The sequence below is a fragment of the Homo sapiens genome, chromosome 2 (genome assembly GCF_000001405.40).
Source record: "Homo sapiens chromosome 2, GRCh38.p14 Primary Assembly".
Classification (NCBI taxonomy): Eukaryota; Metazoa; Chordata; class Mammalia; order Primates; family Hominidae; genus Homo; species Homo sapiens.
The window spans coordinates 134,462,396-134,479,899 of NC_000002.12; the positions used below are offsets into that span (position 1 = coordinate 134,462,396).

The following is a 17,504-nucleotide window of genomic DNA, read 5'->3' on the forward strand; positions in this document are numbered from 1 at the left end:
GCAAAATATTCCAAATCCCACCCTAGACCTCAAGCCCTGCCATGCTCTGTCCCCCCACTTCCAAGTAAGGAAGGGACTCCCCCATGCCCCTTCCTCACTCGGACTCCCTCCGCCTGAAGGACGGCTCTTCCCCACTCTTCACCTGATTATGAGACTGTTTTCACCCAAACTCCCCACTTTTCTTTGTAATGACCTCCTCCCTGGTTCACAAGTATGGTGGAAATACTGCTTACGTGTGTGATGGATTCATGTGCGCAAACCAGAGTCAGAAGTTGTTTCATTAGAAAAGCAGCCTTATTGTTGTTCTCCTCTGTACACCACATAACATGATGAAAGCCAGAACAGTGAAGCCTAGACCGAGATCGTGTATCTGGAATATCTATGTTAGGAAACAGCACCAACCAAGTCACAGGGCCAGTGTTCCAAGGAGGGGGGTCAAGTCCCATGGTCATGGGCAGGGTGGGGCCAGGGACTCTTGCTGGGGCTCTGACTGCTGGATCCACAGCCAGGTGTCCAGCGAATGAGGTTTCCTGTACCCCAACTGCGGTCAGTGAGGTGGATAAAGATCCCACAGATCTGCGAGCCAGAGGGACTTGACAGCCTGCCTGGGAACCAGCCGAGGAGCTGCCTGCTATGGACTCACCACTGGGAGCCCACAAAGCTGTTCAGACCCACACTGCCTACCCCAAGGGCTCCTGCCCTTCCCTCCTGTTCCAGGTGAGGAGACATTGCAGGGCAGGTGGGCAGCACACACAGCTGAGGGAAGCCGAGGCCAGCCAGGCCTCCACTCTGCATCCCTACAGGGCTGGGCCAGAGTGTGGCCCTCAGAACCACGTAAAGGGACCTCTAAGGCAGCTGGAGGTCCCAACCCAAACCCCTGGCCAGGGCCCACTCATCCCTCGGCTCTCAGCACAGAACCCACCTGGTGTCCTGGCTACACTCATCCCTAAGGAAAGAAGGGCTCCATGGCCAAGGAAGGCATTTGATTTTGCAGACCACAAAGCAGCAGACTACAAAAATCCCAGTGGGTGAACTCCCTACCCCAAATCCCAGGTCTGCCCCAGACAAGGAAGGCCATGCAGATGAACCTGGGTCTTGCAGGACAATGTATTAGGGTCAACTTGACGCAAGCTGGCTATAATTCTACGATGTCTCAGTGGGTGACGGAGACCCCAGAAGCCCAGGCTGTGGCCTCAGTATGCTGTGTCATTCTCAGGAGGCTGAACTGCAAGTTCTTTAGATCCGGCTGTGCTAGAAAGACCTGTGTATTTATAGCAGAGGGGTTGCTTGGCTGAGTTGCAACCACGTTTTGGGGATCAGGGCAGGATGCCTCACAGCAATAAGGCAGAAACTGGAAAGGGAGGCTCAGCTTTGGAGCTGGTTTCCCCAGCCAGTGCGGCACCTAACAGAGTGTAAAACCCCGCTGATCCGGTGTTACTGCAACTTCACGCTCCAACAGCATCAAACCCAGGACCTGACGGCAGCAGGATCCCGACTTCTCCCAGCCTGGCAGGAGGCAGCAACCCAGGGCTTCATCTGGAGCTTGAGGAAGGGGGTCCTGCCTGCCTGTTGCACATGAGGGGCCTTAGCACTGCTGAAAGCTGCACAGGAAAGAGGCAGTCTTAACCCAGGCAGTCAAGGTAGTCAATCCTCTCGCCATTTTAAACTGCTTTTACCATCTAAGTAGGTTTGGTTTCATATGAACTAAAGGCTTCCTCAACCCCAGGAGCAAGGTGGCATCTCACAAGGGCAGAAACCAACAGCAGGCCCTGCTGGTCGGGGCGACTTTAGGAAGGACTCTGAGCTGCTGGTCACATGGCATGCAGGAGTGCTGGACACAGCAGGGGCCACCTTCCCTGGGGAGATGCTGTACTTGGCCCCTGGGGCAGGCACAGGGGCAGCACCAAACTTCAGTGTGCACCACATAGTCTTGGGGGGCTGGCATAAAACATCAGTTCCCGGGCCCCAATTCAATCCCCTGGAGTCAGAATCTTCGGGGTGGGCCCAGGAATCTGTTTTCAGCAAACACCCCAAGCAATTTCAGTGCTGCCAGCCTGGTAGTGGTCAACTGATGAGTATCTGGGGTCTGGGATTTTGCAGTCAGGATGTCAGGTCCTGTAACCCCCAACATCTTCAGGCCTGTTCAAAGGAACCCCACGCACATCCATGCACACGGGTGATGCTCTTCCGAGGGTAGCCATGGGTGAAAAGCTGGGGGCGTCCTCTTGCCTTCCCAAGAGACCGTGTTGCAGACTCAGGAGGAGGAGTGGGAGCAGGCGGTGGGCACAGGGACTCCTGGCTCCCCAACAAGGACAACCAGCCCACACCCCCACCCTCACCCCCTAGAACTGCCGACACATCTGCCAACAGTCCCGCCACCTGTCGACAGTCCCACCACCTCTGCAGATGGATTCTTGGGCCAGAGCTCTGTCCCAGGGTGGAAACGTCACTTTGGCTTCCCATGTCCCTGCCCACTGTGCAAAGCTCAGCTCTGCACCCAGCAGGTCAACATCGGCTAAGACAAGGAGCCCATGCCATGTCACCATGCTCCGTCCTGCGGGTGAGAAGGGCCCCACAACTGTCACTGTCACCATGCATGTCTGCACTCCACACTTCACACACAAAAGAGCCTTGAGAGTTTTGGACAAGGAAGTATTTCTTAAAAAAATAATCTACCCGGGCACGGTGGCTCACACCTGTAATCCCAGCACTTTGGGAGGCCGAGGTGGGAGGACTGCCTGAGCTCAGGAGTTTGAGACCAGCCTGGGCAACAACATGGTGAGTCCGCATCTTTAAAAAAAAAAAAAACAAAAACAAAACAAAAATATATATATATACACACACACATACACACACACGTGTGTATAACATAAAACATGTTTGTGTGTACATATATACATATACAGACACATATATATAAACTTTTTAAAAAAGAATCCACATATTTCTGCTCTATTTTGTGCAGATGCACCCACCAACCCACCAACCCACAAGACTTTTGCCCTTTGACGTGACCCCTGGGCTCCGCACATGCCCAGGAATAAATCAAAGCAACATGTCCAGGAGGCACTGCTTGTCAAGTTTCTTGTCTACACATCAGTGATATCAGCGAGTCTGGGGCCTGAAACGTACTTTTCCTGCACTCACACACCCCTCTCTGTCATCCCAAAGGTCATAAAGAAAGTTCCTCCTGTCCCACAGGGACACACACAGACTTTTCTAGCTGGTTGAGATTCTAAGCAGAAAACACACAGGTCATTTCCCCAGAGCAGACACCTGGTAACTGCAACCTGAACTCCCAGGTGAGTGTCCCACTAGCTGGAAGGAAAAACAAGCATGGAGAATTCACAAAGGAAACATTTATAGAATCCAGAAAAGGCATTTACTTTTTATGGGGAGCAATGCACATAAAACCCAAGACTCCAGGAAGCCCTTTGTGCTTCATGATTAAGAGGCTGGGGAGCCCCAAGCCTCCCTGCTAGGAGGTCAGAGTGGAGGTGATTTATGAAGAGTTTATTGAATTCCCAGGGCACAGGATATCTGCCCTGATATGGGAGCTCTGAGAATCATTAAACAACTTGAGGCGGGTAGGAGAGTGAGAAATGGATTCCAAATTATTGAGTTCTCCAGCAAGGGAAACAACTAAAAGAGACCCAAACAGCATCTTCCTCCACTGTGAGCCCAGCCCCCAGAGATTAGGCACCCTGGCCTTACTCACCATCTGTTATGAGTGCTCTACTGGTCAGAACCTTCCCCAGCATGAACTTCAACACGGCCAGGATGCTGCAAAGAATCCCACTTAAAATGGAGACACTGAACAGGAAATCGTCCTGCAAGAGAAAGTTCCAGATTTCAACAGTTCACCTCCTGCTGGAGCAGATCATCTGCAACCCACTTGCCTTACAGATCAGCCTTGTTCCAAGTACAAATAGTCAGGTGTGCTGCCACCAGGTGGGGGTATACTGCATGCTTTCACACCTCAGTTATGTGTCACCAGGAATTGGAAAAGATGCTCAAAAACAGATAATCCCAATTTATATTTACTTAAAAAACCATTACGTATTTATTTTCCTGTAGGAGATTGACCTCCCCACTATTCTGCTAAAATGAGTAGCAGTCATAGATCAATAACAGAGTTGGTCAGAATGCTAAGAACAGCATCTTCTATATAGAATTTTCCACAGATAACTCACCAAGCAGTTGACTGAGAATTTTGGAACACGTAAACACACCACCAGCCTAACAATCCTTCAACAGAGCCAACTGAATTTGCCACAGGGTCAGTTAGGGCCAGAGCTACTTAAAACCATATTTTTTCCCCTTAAATTCACACAGGGCAATTGAGAGTTCATAGACATGGGTAGAGAAAATAGCATCTAAAAATATCGTCTGCTACTGACGTTATCTTAACACTTCCTCTAAGTTGTTACCTTACCTTCGCAAGCAAACAAGTGAGTCCCATATGCAATAAGTAAGCACCACTATTCTCCTGACATTGGGGCCCATCCAGCTCTTCTGCTTCAAGCTCCCATGTGTCACCCCCAAGAGACACAGCCTTCAGATTTCCCAATATTAAAATGCAACGGCCAGCAGAACTCTGATGCAGCATCATAAATAGGCAAAGAAATCGGCTTCTCCCTATGCATTTTATTAATCAAATTCACAAACCTCATGTCAGAACCTGGGAAGAGGGAGACAGCCTGCATCATGTTCAAAACTGAACAAAGCCATTTGAAAAGCAACTTCACTGGAAACAGGGTATCTGTATAGGGTCAAAGCATCTCTCCGAAAACATGGGTCAATGACGGTGGTGGTTTTGGCAACCTATGTTCACAAATTCTTTGCTACTCCATCCTCCAAGAGTTGGAGATTAATCTCCCCACCCCATCCCCTGCCCTTGAGTTTGGGCTGGACTTAACAGACTCAAATCTAACACAGAGTAGAGAAAGGGAAAAACAGTAGCTTACCAATGGAGAAACCAAGCAGACACCACCTTAGCCAAGTGATCAAGGTTCACATCACCATTATTAAGTTGTGTTGGTAACATGTGGCCCCTGATACGATGTGACAAGAAGGGCACTTTACCTCCACGGTGTTCCATCCCCAAATCCATAACCTCATTTTAACTGCGAAACAACATCAAACAAACCCAAACGGAGGGACCGTCTACAAAATACCCGACTCCTCACGTGTCAAGGTCATGAAACATGAGGAACGACCGAGAGACTGTCACACACTGGAGACTTAAGGAGATGTGACAAGTAAATGCAGCATGGCATCCAGACTGGATCCTGGAACACAAAAAGGTCATCAGTGGGAAAACCGGGGACATGAGAAGAAAGTCTAGGGTTTCGTGAATAGTGCTGTCATCTCATGGTAGAGATTAATTTGCCGTGGCTGTGTGCGATGTTAACAGTAGGTCAGGCTGGATGGAGGGGATATGGGCACTCTCTGTACTATCTGTAAAACTCTTCTATTAATCTAAAATTATTTCACATTTAAAAGCTTATTTAAAGTAATCACCTCACGGAAGTTTTACCTCCTCAAATGACCAGTAAGGACCGTCCCAAACCAGGCCTCTTGACAACTCTTCAGTCCCTCCTATGCAGAGGTTACACAGCAGGGGACACAGTGGGAGGGGGTCAGGAGCCCCACATGGAAGCTCTCTTTGTGCAGGACTCAGCCTAAGTCCAGGAGACAGCACCCACAGAAAATAAGGTGAACATGATGCTACAATCTGAGTATGTGTCCCTCCAAAATTCACACATGGAAACCTAATTGCCAGGGTGACGGTATGAGGAGGTGGGGCCTCTGGGAGGTGATTAGGCTGCAAGGACAGAGCCCTCACTAATGGAATGAGTGCCCTTATAAAAGAGGTCCCATAGTGCCAGCTTGCCCCCTCCGCATGTGAGGACACAGGAAGAAGCCACCATCTCATGAACCAGGAAAAGGGGCCCCACCAGGCACTGAATCTGCTGGCACCTTGTCTTGGACTCCCAGCCTCCAGAACTGTGAGATGGAAGTGTCTGTGGTTTATAAGCCACCCAGTCTGTGGTGTTTTGTTATAACAGCTAGAACTGACTAAGACACATGACCAAAGAATTGCATGTCAACAGCCCCAGGTGCTAACAGGACTCAGGAAGCATAGGCTGGGAGACTGAGGCAGTCAGGAAATTCAAGAACTTTGAGGTCTCAGATTTGGAGACTGAATACTCACTTTGCTTATCCCATGATGCCTGAATCCCCTTTGGCTCCATTCAGTCGCTGTTTGCAAAGCCCTCCTCCCTAAGTTTCCAGCGGTAGAGAAAATCTGTGCTTACCCCATCTAGGCCCCTAGGGCACAGGGCCTGGGGTGTGCTGCCCCACCCTGAGATGCAGCTCAAGAAACGCCACCCATGGCTTTGGTGGCCCTTCCTCCAGCTCCTAAAGGGAGCTGCAGACCCAGGGCTCGGCCGACCCAGTGGCAGTCGTGTGCCAGGCAGGCCTTTGCTCAACTCTAAACTCCATGGCTTACTGGGAAACAAACACTTGGATCTCTGTAAGCGGCAGTGGGATGCCTACAGCCCCTGGCAGCAGCTGGCAGTAAAAGGTACGAGTTGTTGTGAAGGGGCCCAAACACATGATCCACACACAAACGTCCTCCACCTGCCAGCCGCATCGGGTGCTCACGGTGAGCCCCAGACAAGCCTGGTCAGCATTCTCGTAAGAGAGACACAGGAAGCTTGTCACCGAGAAATAAGTATGCATGGTGAAACATAAAGAAACTTCAACTTCCAAGAGACCAGGACTGAGCTCCACCGCGGCCTATCCAGGGGCTGTGCGGGAAGTTTCCTGTACCTGGGAGGCTTCATCTCGGGGGAGCTCTCGATGGACCGGAGGGCCCCGAGGTCCAGCTCCTGGAGGACTCGGGTGGGCTTCCTGGAGCGAAAAAGTAGAAGCACTGGGTGGCAGCTTCAAAAGCACTGAAGCGGGAGTCCCACTTACTAGCTAGGTGACTCTGGGCAGGTCACTTAACCCCTCCCTCCCTCCACTGTCCTACCTATAAAGTGGAAAAAAATAACAGACTCCCTCACGGTGGCTGCATATACTGCGTGCACAGAGCTCAACTGGAACTACGTTGCCCAGAATTTCCTTCCTACGTGGTTCCCAGTTGAAGCTGACTCCCAGAGACATCTGCATGAGTGAAAGGTGGAGGTGAAGCGGCTCCGGTGCTGCCGCAGCTCAGCCAGGCACATTCTGCATTCTGTGGCTCCACGGGCTCGCCCAGGGGAGAGAGGGGCCGCACCGAGCCCATGGATTCTCCGCTCCTGCTGCATCTCCCCGCTCCAGCTTCGCTGAGTCATAAGCCAGGCGTGCATATAGCTCTGTGGCAAAGGCGCCAGCTTCTTCTGCAGGATGCCCAATGTCATGGAGGCTGAGACAGTGAGGGTCACGTACAGGTCCAGGCCATCTTCATGGGCGCCAGTTTGTCCTTGCGCCTTTCTCTTTGCCCAGCCTTCTTTCCTGACTGCACGGCTGCTGACTTCAGACCAACACCACACTCAGAGGCAACCGCTTTACCAGGACGTCGGCACCAGCAACCACCATGTGGAAAGTCGCACCCCTGCCACAAACCCCTATTCTGCATCACTTAGAGGGGTTTGCTTCCCTGCCTGAACCCTACCATAAAACTTCATACGAGGCTGGGCGCGGTGGCTCACGCCTGTAATCCTAGCACTTTGGGAGGCTGAGGCAGGCGGATCACGAGGTCAGGAGATCAAGACCATCCTGACTAACACAGTGAAACCTCGTCTCTACTAAAAATACAAAAAATTAGCTGGGCGCGGTGGCGGGCGCCTGTAGTCCTAGCTACTCGGGAGGCTGAGGCAGGAGAATTGTGTGAACCCGGGAGGTGGAGCTTGCAGTGAGCTGAGATAGCGCCACTGCACTCCAGCCTGGGTGACAGAGTGAGACTCCGTCTCAAAAAAAAAAAAAAAAACTTCATACGGATGTGTCATGGGGTCAAACAGGGCCCGGCACAGAGTGAATGCTATATTAGTATTGGGAAGCTAAGTTTTTTAATGTAGAGAAGCCAAGATGCAAAATGCAGGCTTTTTCTGAGCATGGGTTATTTCTACCAGCCACCCTTTGCTCCTAGGACTGGCTCTGAGAGAGCAATTACCTTTCCCTGTAGAGGAACAGAGTCTGGGGCCATCTCTGAGTGTCACGCAAAGCTGCAGGCTGCAGCTCACCACTGCTGAGTGGATCTGCCTCAGAAACAGATGAACCCTGCGGAGGAACCCAAGGAGGATCCAGGCTGGCACAGACCTGCCAAAGCTCCTCTCCCAAAACCAGCTTTCAATGTCCTGAAAGCTCTGTGATTACCCTACCCAGGCCCAGATGGCTCTCCTGCGGTGCACGTGCTCCTCTCTCCACACGGCTGCCATGTTGACTGTTGGCATGAACAGAATGTCACAGAGATGCAGTCAGCAGCCTGCTCAAGACATCAGTACCTGGCTGGGCATGGTGGCTCATGCCTGGAATCCCAGTGCTTTGAGAGGCCGAGGCGGGAAGAACACTTGAAGCCAAGAGTTCAACACCAGCCTGGGCAACATAGCGAGACCTGGTCTCTACAAAAAATGTAAATATTAGCCAGGCATAGTGGCACATGCTTGTAGCCCCAGCTACTCAGGAGGCTGAAGCAAGTGGATCACTTGAGGCCAGGAGGTTGAGACTGCAGTGAGCTATAATAGTGCCACTGCACTCCAGCCTGGGCAATAGAGTGAGACTCTACCTAATAAAACTATGTTTAAAAAGACATCAGTCCCTGTTATGGACTAGATGTCTGTGTTCCTACAAAATTCATATGTTGAAGCCCTAACCCCAATGTGATAGTATTTGGAGAGGGGGCCTTTGAAAGATAATTAGGGTTAGATTAGGTCATAGGGGGACCTCATAATGAGACTAGTACCCTTATAAGAAAACAGAAGATCTTTTTCCCCACCACCGACGTGCACCAAGGAAAGGCCACATGAGGACACATGAGGACACAGTGAGAAGGCAGCCATCTGTAACCCAAGGAAGGATCCCTCACCAGATGCTGACTCTGCTGGCACATTCATTGTGGACTTCAGTCTCCAGAACTGTGAAGATGAAATTCCTGTTTTTTAAGCCACCTAGTCTACGACATTTGTCTTTGGCACCCCAAGCTAAGACAGTCTCTAAGTTTAATAAAAGGAAGTTTCTGAGAAGATTCCTTTCAGAGAGTCAGGAAGCCACAGCAGACATGGAGACATGGCTGATGATGAGAAACCATAACACGTGTAGGCTGTTCCACCACTGACTCCTCTCAAGGTGCGGCCGCACCTACCATGCCACTGAATTCTCAGCACTGTCAGAGTGGGCGTCTGACAGATGCATAAACAGTTGGAGAGAGGCTAAATGACTTTCCCAGGGTCACTCTGCAGTGGCAGGACCTGGAATTGTTCCCAGCTGTAAACTCTACCAGGTTGCCTCATCTAAGGCCTTATCATCATCTCTCATGTCCCTCAACAGTGGACTCCGTGAAAACAGCAACAGCGATTTCCTTGCTGGGCATTCAGTTCCTGCTGTTACCAGCACTGTGTCTCTATAATTTCTCACAGTTGAATCTTCACTGATTGATGGAAGATTATGACAAAAAGGTTTAAGGAAATTAGCCACTCATTCAAAGCCAAGTATAAATGTACATTAAAGGTAAACTCCACATAAATTTTGTCCATGCTGGCAAGCTCCTTCAACATCTTGTAGTAGCAAAGCCATAAAAGATTGATATACTTGACTAGAGAGAAGTTAAGACATATTCAGGGGAAAGATCAAATACAAACTAGGAAAAGGGTTATCACAAAGGGTTAATCTCCTTACTATAGAAAGGGCTCATGGAAATCTAGAGGAAAAAGACCAACAAAGAGAAAATGGACAAAGATATATGTGAGAGACAGTTAAAAATAACATAAATTTTAAACATATGAAAAAGGCTCAAATGCTCATAAAAGAAATGAAAGCCAAAACTATAGTAAGATCCTTTTTATCTAACCAAAAATATTACAAGGCTATGAGAAAACAGTCTCTCATACAATTCTGGTGGCAGTGCAAAATGGTCCAACCTGTACAGAGAACAATTTGACAATTTCTCTGAAAAGTACACATCTACCCTTTGAGCAAGCCACCCACTTATGTGAATTTATCTTACTGCTATACCTGTACATGTATGCAAATGACGGCACATATGGGCCATTCATTACAGCAATGAAAACACTTTTACATAACTGATAGAACAAACTAACAGAAAGTCAGTAAACAGAAGACTTCAACAACATGATCAACCAGCTTTGCCTGACATTTACGGAACATCTACCCTACAAAGGCAGGACACACATTCTTTTTAAATGTAATATTAATGTAGATCACATTCTATGCCATTAAAAAGATGTCAACCAATTAAAAAACTGAATTATACAAGGCATATTCTCTGACAATGGGATTAAACTAGAAATCAGTAACAGGATGATATCTAGAATATTCTAGTATTTGGAAACTAAACAATAAAACAACCCACTTCTTAAAAACTCATGAATCAAAGAATAAGTCACCAGGGAAATTACAATATATTTTGAAGTGAAATAAAGTAGAACAACAGTATACTGAAATTAGTGGTATGCAGCAAAAGCAGAGCTAAGAGGAAAATTTATAGTAAATAATGTACTTAAAAATGTTTAAAAGGCCTAATATCAATGATCTGAGCTTTGCCTTTAAGAAAAAATTAAAAGAAAATCAAATTAATCCCAAAGTAAGGAGAAGGAAAGAAATAATAAACTTATGAGCAGAAATCAATGAGACAGACCAGGTGCGGTGGCTCACAACTGTAATCCCAGGACTTTGGGAGTCCGAGGCAGGTGGATCACTTGAGGTCAGGAGTTCGAGACCAGCCTGACCAACATGGGGAAACCCTGTCTCTACTAAAAATACAAAATTAGCTGGGTGTGGTGCCTCACACCTGTAATCCCAGCTACATGAGAGGCTGAGGCAGGAGAATCACTTGAACCAGGGAGGCAGAGGTTGCAGTGACCCAAGATCACACCATTGCACTCTAGCCTGTGCAACAAGAGTGAAACTCTGTCTCAAAAAAAAAAAAAAGAAAAAGAAACCAATGAGACAGAAAATGAATAAACAGTAGAGAAGAATCAATAAAACCAAAGACCTTGATAAAGATCAGTAATGTAGGATAAACCTCCAGGACTCATCTAGAAGAAAGAGGACACATGTTACCAATATCAGGAATGAGAGAAGGTACATCACTACAGATCCAACAGGATCTATTAAGAAGATAACAAGGAGATATAACCAACTTGATGCCAATAAATTTGACAACTTAGAAGAAATAGACAAATCAAACGTCATCCAAGAAGTAGATAACCTGAAGAACCCTGTATCAACCGAAGACCTTGAAACTGTAGTGAAAATCCTTCTCACAAAACTTCAGGCCCCAATGCTTTTACTGGCAAATCTGCCAAACATTTAATCATTTAAAGGAGAAATAACCAATTCTAAAACATCTCTTTCAGAAAAAAAAAGATAAAGAAGAAACACTTCCCAATTTATTTCTGAGGCCAGCATTACCATGACACTAAAAGCAGAAGCATCACAAGAAAACTACAGACCAATAGCTCTCATGAATCAGACTTAAAAGTCCTCAACAAAGTATCAGCAACACAAATTCAGCAATATATAAAAAGGATAATACAACATGACCAAACGGGGTTTATCCTGGGGAACCAATATTGATTAAACATTCAAATATCAATCAAAGCAATTTCCCATATTGACAGAACAAAAAGAAAGCCCATATAATCATCTCAATAGATGCAGAAAAAGCATTTGATGTGTCAAATGTGTCACTACCCACTCATGGAGAAGGGAAGGAGAAACAGAGGAAGCCAAAGACTTCTCAGCACTCTAGGAATGGAAAGGAATTTCCTCAACCTGATAAATGGTATCTAGGAAAAACCTACAACTAATATCAACCAACGGTGAAAAAATGAATGTTACTCCTAAGATCAGGAAAAAGGCAAGGACATCTACTTTCATTACTTCCATTTGACTCTGATTAGGAGGGAATAGCCAGTATACAGATAGAAAAGAAAGAAGTAAAGCCATTTTTATTTACAGACTACATAATTTTCTATTTTGAAAACCCTCACTAATTTACCATTCCTCCCACACACAAAACATACTTATTAGAACTATAAGTGAGTTTAATAAGACCACATACCAAGTTAGCAAGTAAAACTCAACTGTATTTCTGTACACTAGCTAGAAATATGGAGTTTTTGGAAATACTATTTAAAGTAGCACAAAAATACTAAATACTCAGTGATAAATTTTACATGTAAGACCTGTGCACTGAAAACTACAAAATATTACGGAGATAAATTAAAAGATTTTAGTACATGGAAAGATATACTGTGTTCAATTATTATTAAAACGTTAGTTCTCCCCAAACCGATCTGGATGCAAAAGCCACCCTAAGCCAAATCCCAGCAGGCTTTTTTAAAGAAATAAAAATGGACAAGTTGATTTTAAAAGTTATGTGTAAATGAAAGGGCTTACAATAAGTAAAGTGATTTTGAAAAAGAACAAGTTTCAAAGGTTTACACAAGGCCTTTCCTTATTTGATTTATGAAATAAGTCATTTCCAAACTGATTTATTATGAAGCTATTGTAATCAAGAAGTAATACTGTCATAAAGCCAGACAGACATACAGATCAACAGAACAAAATAGCCTAGAAATCATCCCACTCTCAGATATAGTCATTTAGTTTTAGACAAAAGCACAAAAGCAATCCAGTGGAAAATGTAAAGTCTTTACAACTAACAGCACTAGAACAATTGGATATGTGTACAGAAAGAAATAAATCCTGATCCTTATTTCACACTATATATAAATTTTAATTTTAGATGGACTGCAGATCTCAAAGTGAAGCTAAAACTGTAAAACTAAATTATGTATGACCTTGGGTTAGGCAAAATATTTCCTATGACAAAAAACAAGCACTAATCATTAAGAAAACTGTGATTAATTAGACTTTATCAAAATTAAAACTTTTGCTCCTTGAAAGACTATTAAGAAAATGAAGGCAAGCCATGATACAGAAAAAAAAATTGTAAAACATATCTGATACAGAACTGGTATCCAGAATATTTAATAATTTCTACATCTCAGTAAGAAAACAGATGACTCAATTAAAACAGAAGGCAAAAATTTAAACACTTTACCAAATAAGATGTAAGAACAGCAAATAAGCACAAATAAAGATAATCAACATTATTGGTCAACAGGGAAAAGTACATGGAAACCACTGTAAGTGACCACTACATACTCATTAGAATCACCAAAATTAAAAAAAAGAAAACACATAATACCAAGTATGTGAGGATGTACAGCAACTGGAACTCTCATATGTTGCTGGTGAGAATGTAAAATGGTACAGTCATTTCGTAAAAGAGATTGGCCATTCCTTATGAAATTAAATATAGACTTACCATAGGATTCAGCAATTCTACTCCAAGAGAAATGAAGGCATACGTCCACACGAAGACTTGCACACCAGTGTTCTCAGCTGCTAATTTCATAATAGTCAAAAACTGGAAATAACCTAAATGTCCAACTACTGGTGAATGGAATAACAAACTGTCATCTGTCCAGACAACAGAATATTACTCAGCAATAAATAAGAATGAACCACAGATATGTTCAGCAAGAATAGGGCTGCATTTCAAAAGCATTATGCTAAATAAAAGAAGATAGACACAAGAGACTAAATACTGAACTATTTCATTTATATGACTGCAGAAAAGGGAACCTAAAGTAACAGAAAGCAGACTAGCTGGGGAGAGGAGGTGATTAATGACAGCAAAGGGGCAGGAGGGATCATTCTGGGGATGATGGAAATATTCTATATCTTCATTGTGGTGGTAGTTCTGTGACAATACACATCTGTCAAAACTCATCAAGTTGCGTACTTAAAGGGTGAATTTTATTGTATGTACATTATATCTCAATAAAACTAATTGTTTTAAAAAATACTATTTATCTCAGGGATTCTTAGGTGATAATTACTGACATTTACATAATTCAGCTTATACACATAAGCTGGTATGATCATGTACATAGTAATGTTCATGATGTTCCTAATGTCCATTATTGGAATGTACAGTAAAGGACACAGATCAAACCACAGTCGTTGTAAAGATTAAATCAGAGGCTTAGAGGTCAGTGGTGGAACATGGACCTGGAGGGCTGGCTTTAAGTCTCAGGAGCTTCCTATGGATGTGGGTAAACACTCCTTTTTCTAGACATCTCAAGTGTTTTATCCTCTATTAAGCTTTTCCTGACAGCCCATCAGTGTTCTCACTGACCCTGTAGTATGGCCTGCAGAAGCCTGGGTTCTACATGATTATCATCACTGCCATGCCTCATGTTCAATTCAACTTAGTAAACCCCAGTTGAGTGCCTTCTGTTTACTCCTTCAACAAGTTTCCTCTTTATCATCAACTTCTCTGGAAAACCTTGTCTGACTCCTCCAGGCTGAGTAGGAACCCTCTTCCCACTGAAGACTGCACACCACACCTACGTTTAGCACTTGCTGCAGCATCTCGTAGTCTTTGGCTCACCCACCCCTCCTTCTTATCTGCCTGTGAGCTCTATGTCAGGGAGAACGTTGTGTTGCTCATTTGTTGTCCGGCACGTGTCCAGTGTCAGTCGCACTGCTGGCTCTGACAGAGCACTTGGGAAGCACTATGCAGGAGGTACTGGGTGAATTTCTAGGGAGATAGACATAAATGTGATGCCATTTTACTCTCAAGGAACTTACAACCTAGTTAGAGAGATAGACACATAAGCCACTAACTGTACCATAGTGCGATCTGTTTGTTTAAAAGCTGTGGCAGAGAAATGTGCCACGTTGGAGTGAATAAGAAGCATGGTATATACATGATGTGCAGGGTGGAATTTGGTAAGTCCCACCTTTCAGGAACCGTCAGTTTGCTAACCTGGACTTCATGAGAGTGTTTAGTATGTATCATAGCCATGTGGAATGGGAAATTTCTGGACAATCCAAATACTTCAATCAATGACATCAATAAAGACTCACTGAGCACCAGTGTATAGGCTGAAGTGTTTTACAAGAAGCAAAGAGTAAGCATAGCTTTTGCTTTTAAGATAGTAATCTTCAGATGAGAAAACATACCATGAAGGCCTAGAAAGTAAGATTTTTTTCAAAGAGAGCAAGAAAGAAAATATTGGATAAGCACCAACAAGGAAGTCTGTGATGAATTATCAACCCAAGGTCATACCTATTGAAATGGAAGAACATGGACCTCATAGCACTTTTCTGTCCCTCCCATCCCACAGAGTGGTGAAGCTGTACAAGATGTGGAATGGACAGGTTTGTTGATATGGTTTGGATGTTTGTCCTCTCCAAATCTCATGTTGAAATGTGATTCCAAATGTTGGAGGTGGGGCCTGGTGGGAGGTGACTTGATCATGGGGGCAGATCCCTCATGAATGGTTTGGCACCATCCTCTTGATAGTGGGATTATTATCAAGTTATTTCATGTGAGATCTGATTGTTTAAAAGTCTGGAACCTCCTTGTTCCCACTCTTGCTACTGCTCTCACCGTGTGATTCCTTGGCTTTGCCCTTTACCTTCTACCATGATTGTAAGCATCCTCAGGCCCTCACTAGAAGTCCAGCAGATGTTGGTGCCATGATTATACAGCCTGTAGAACCATGAGTCAGTTAAACCTGTTTTCTTTATAAATTACCTAGCATCAGGTATTTCTTTTAAGATACCTGAAAATGTGGAAGCAGCTTTGGAATTGGGTAATGGGCAGAGGTTGGAAGAATTTGGAGGGCTCAGGAGAAGACTAGAAGGGAAAGTTTGGAATTTCTTAGAGACTGTTAAATAGTTGTGACCATAATGCTCATAAAAATATGGGCAGTGAAGGCCAGGCTGAAGAGGTCTCAGATGGAAACAAGGAAGTTATTGGGAACTGGAGTGAAGATTGCCCACGTATGCCTTAGCAGAGAACTTAGCTGCTTTGTGTTTGTGCCCTAGGAATCTGTGGAAGTTTGAACTTAAGAGTGATGACTTAAGGTATGTAGGTTGAAGAAACTTCTAAACAGCAAAGCATTCAAGAGATGGTGTGGCTGCATCTAACTAAAGCTGAACTTAAAATTAAAAGGGAAGCAGAGTGTTAAAAGTTTGCAAAATTTGCAGCCTGGGCCCATGGTAGGGAAGGAATCCAAGCAGCCTGTGGAGCAACTACTTGCTAGAGAGATTAGCAGGACTGAAAGGGAGCCAGGTGTTCATAGCCAAGAAAATGGGGAAAAAGGCCTTGAAGGCACTTGAGAAATCTTCAAGTCAGCCCCTCTCATCGCAGCCCCAGAGGCCTCAGAGGAAAGAATCATTTTGGGATCCAGGCCCAGGGCTCTTGCTGCCTTATGCAGCCTTGGGATACTGCTCCCCTCATCCTGGGGTGGAAGGGGTCAGTTCTGGGGATTAGTGCCCTTCCTCATAAGAGAGACCCCAAAGGACATCCTTGCTTCTTCCCCATGTGAGAACACAGTGAGAAGACAGCCATTGATGAACCTGGAGGCAGGCCCTCACAAGACACCAAATCTGCTGGTAACTGGATCTTGAACCTCCCAACCTCCAGAACCATGAAAGATCCATTTCTGTTGTTTGTAAGCTGCCCAGTCTATGGCATTCGGTGATAGCAGCCTGAATGAACTAAGACAGTCCTGCAGCCCAAACTTCAGGGAAGCGTAGAAGATGCCAGTTCACCCTTCTCCCAACATGCCCCCTGCATTCCAGACTGTGTGGGACAAAAGCCAATGACCAGTGCATCTGAGTGGAATGTCTTTTCCAAGAGCTAGTAATGCTTAGATTTGAATTTTCCAACTTCATTGCCCCAAAGTGTGAAAAACAACACCTTTACCCTATTGAACAAAATGTTTATACAGGGATTCCAAGAACCTGACGGACCCCTGGGGTATAAAAAGCATTACATCCCAAATGTTTTGGTGTATACCAATACTAATCCTGTCATCTCAGAGAACAAGTTGTGGAAACACACATCCCTGGGGCCCCAAATCTGACCCCCACAGATAAGGGCGAGCATCCCTTCTGTACAAACGTGAGGTGGTCTTAAAACCATACAGCATTAGAAAGGATAAAGGGCTTAGGGGGCACCTAATTCATGCCACAGGTGATAAAACTGAGGCATGTTCAGGCTTGTAAAAATGAGGTAACTCCCCCAGAGACAGCAGAGAGACAGTGACAGAGCTGTGTCCCAAGCTCAGGGCTCCCAACCATCCTCCAGCTCTGATTAGGAGGCCTGATGCTACCCACCCTGCTGCTTCCACTTCTCTCAGCCAGGCTGGAATGTGGCGAAAGCCACAGGCCTAATTTTAGGATTCAAA

General features: G+C 45.4%; 1 protein-coding gene across 1 annotated transcript in view, besides 1 other annotated feature; it reads right to left on the reverse strand.

The window, feature by feature from the left end:
* The window catches only part of TMEM163 (transmembrane protein 163), a 263,242-nt gene that overhangs the window by 6,637 nt on the left and 239,101 nt on the right, over positions 1-17,504 (reverse strand). Inside the window, exon 6 of the mRNA NM_030923.5 lies at positions 3,719-3,830. Within this exon, the coding sequence (NP_112185.1) occupies positions 3,719-3,830 (112 nt within the window). The remainder of the gene's footprint in view (positions 1-3,718; positions 3,831-17,504) is intronic.
* Positions 3,823-4,117: a silencer, noted in NCBI's record as "tiled region #15464; HepG2 Repressive DNase unmatched - State 12:CtcfO". NCBI's record gives its function as "represses a minimal TATA promoter and a strong SV40 promoter by Sharpr-MPRA in HepG2 cells {active_cell/tissue: HepG2}" and the evidence as "EXISTENCE:reporter gene assay evidence [ECO:0000049][PMID:27701403]".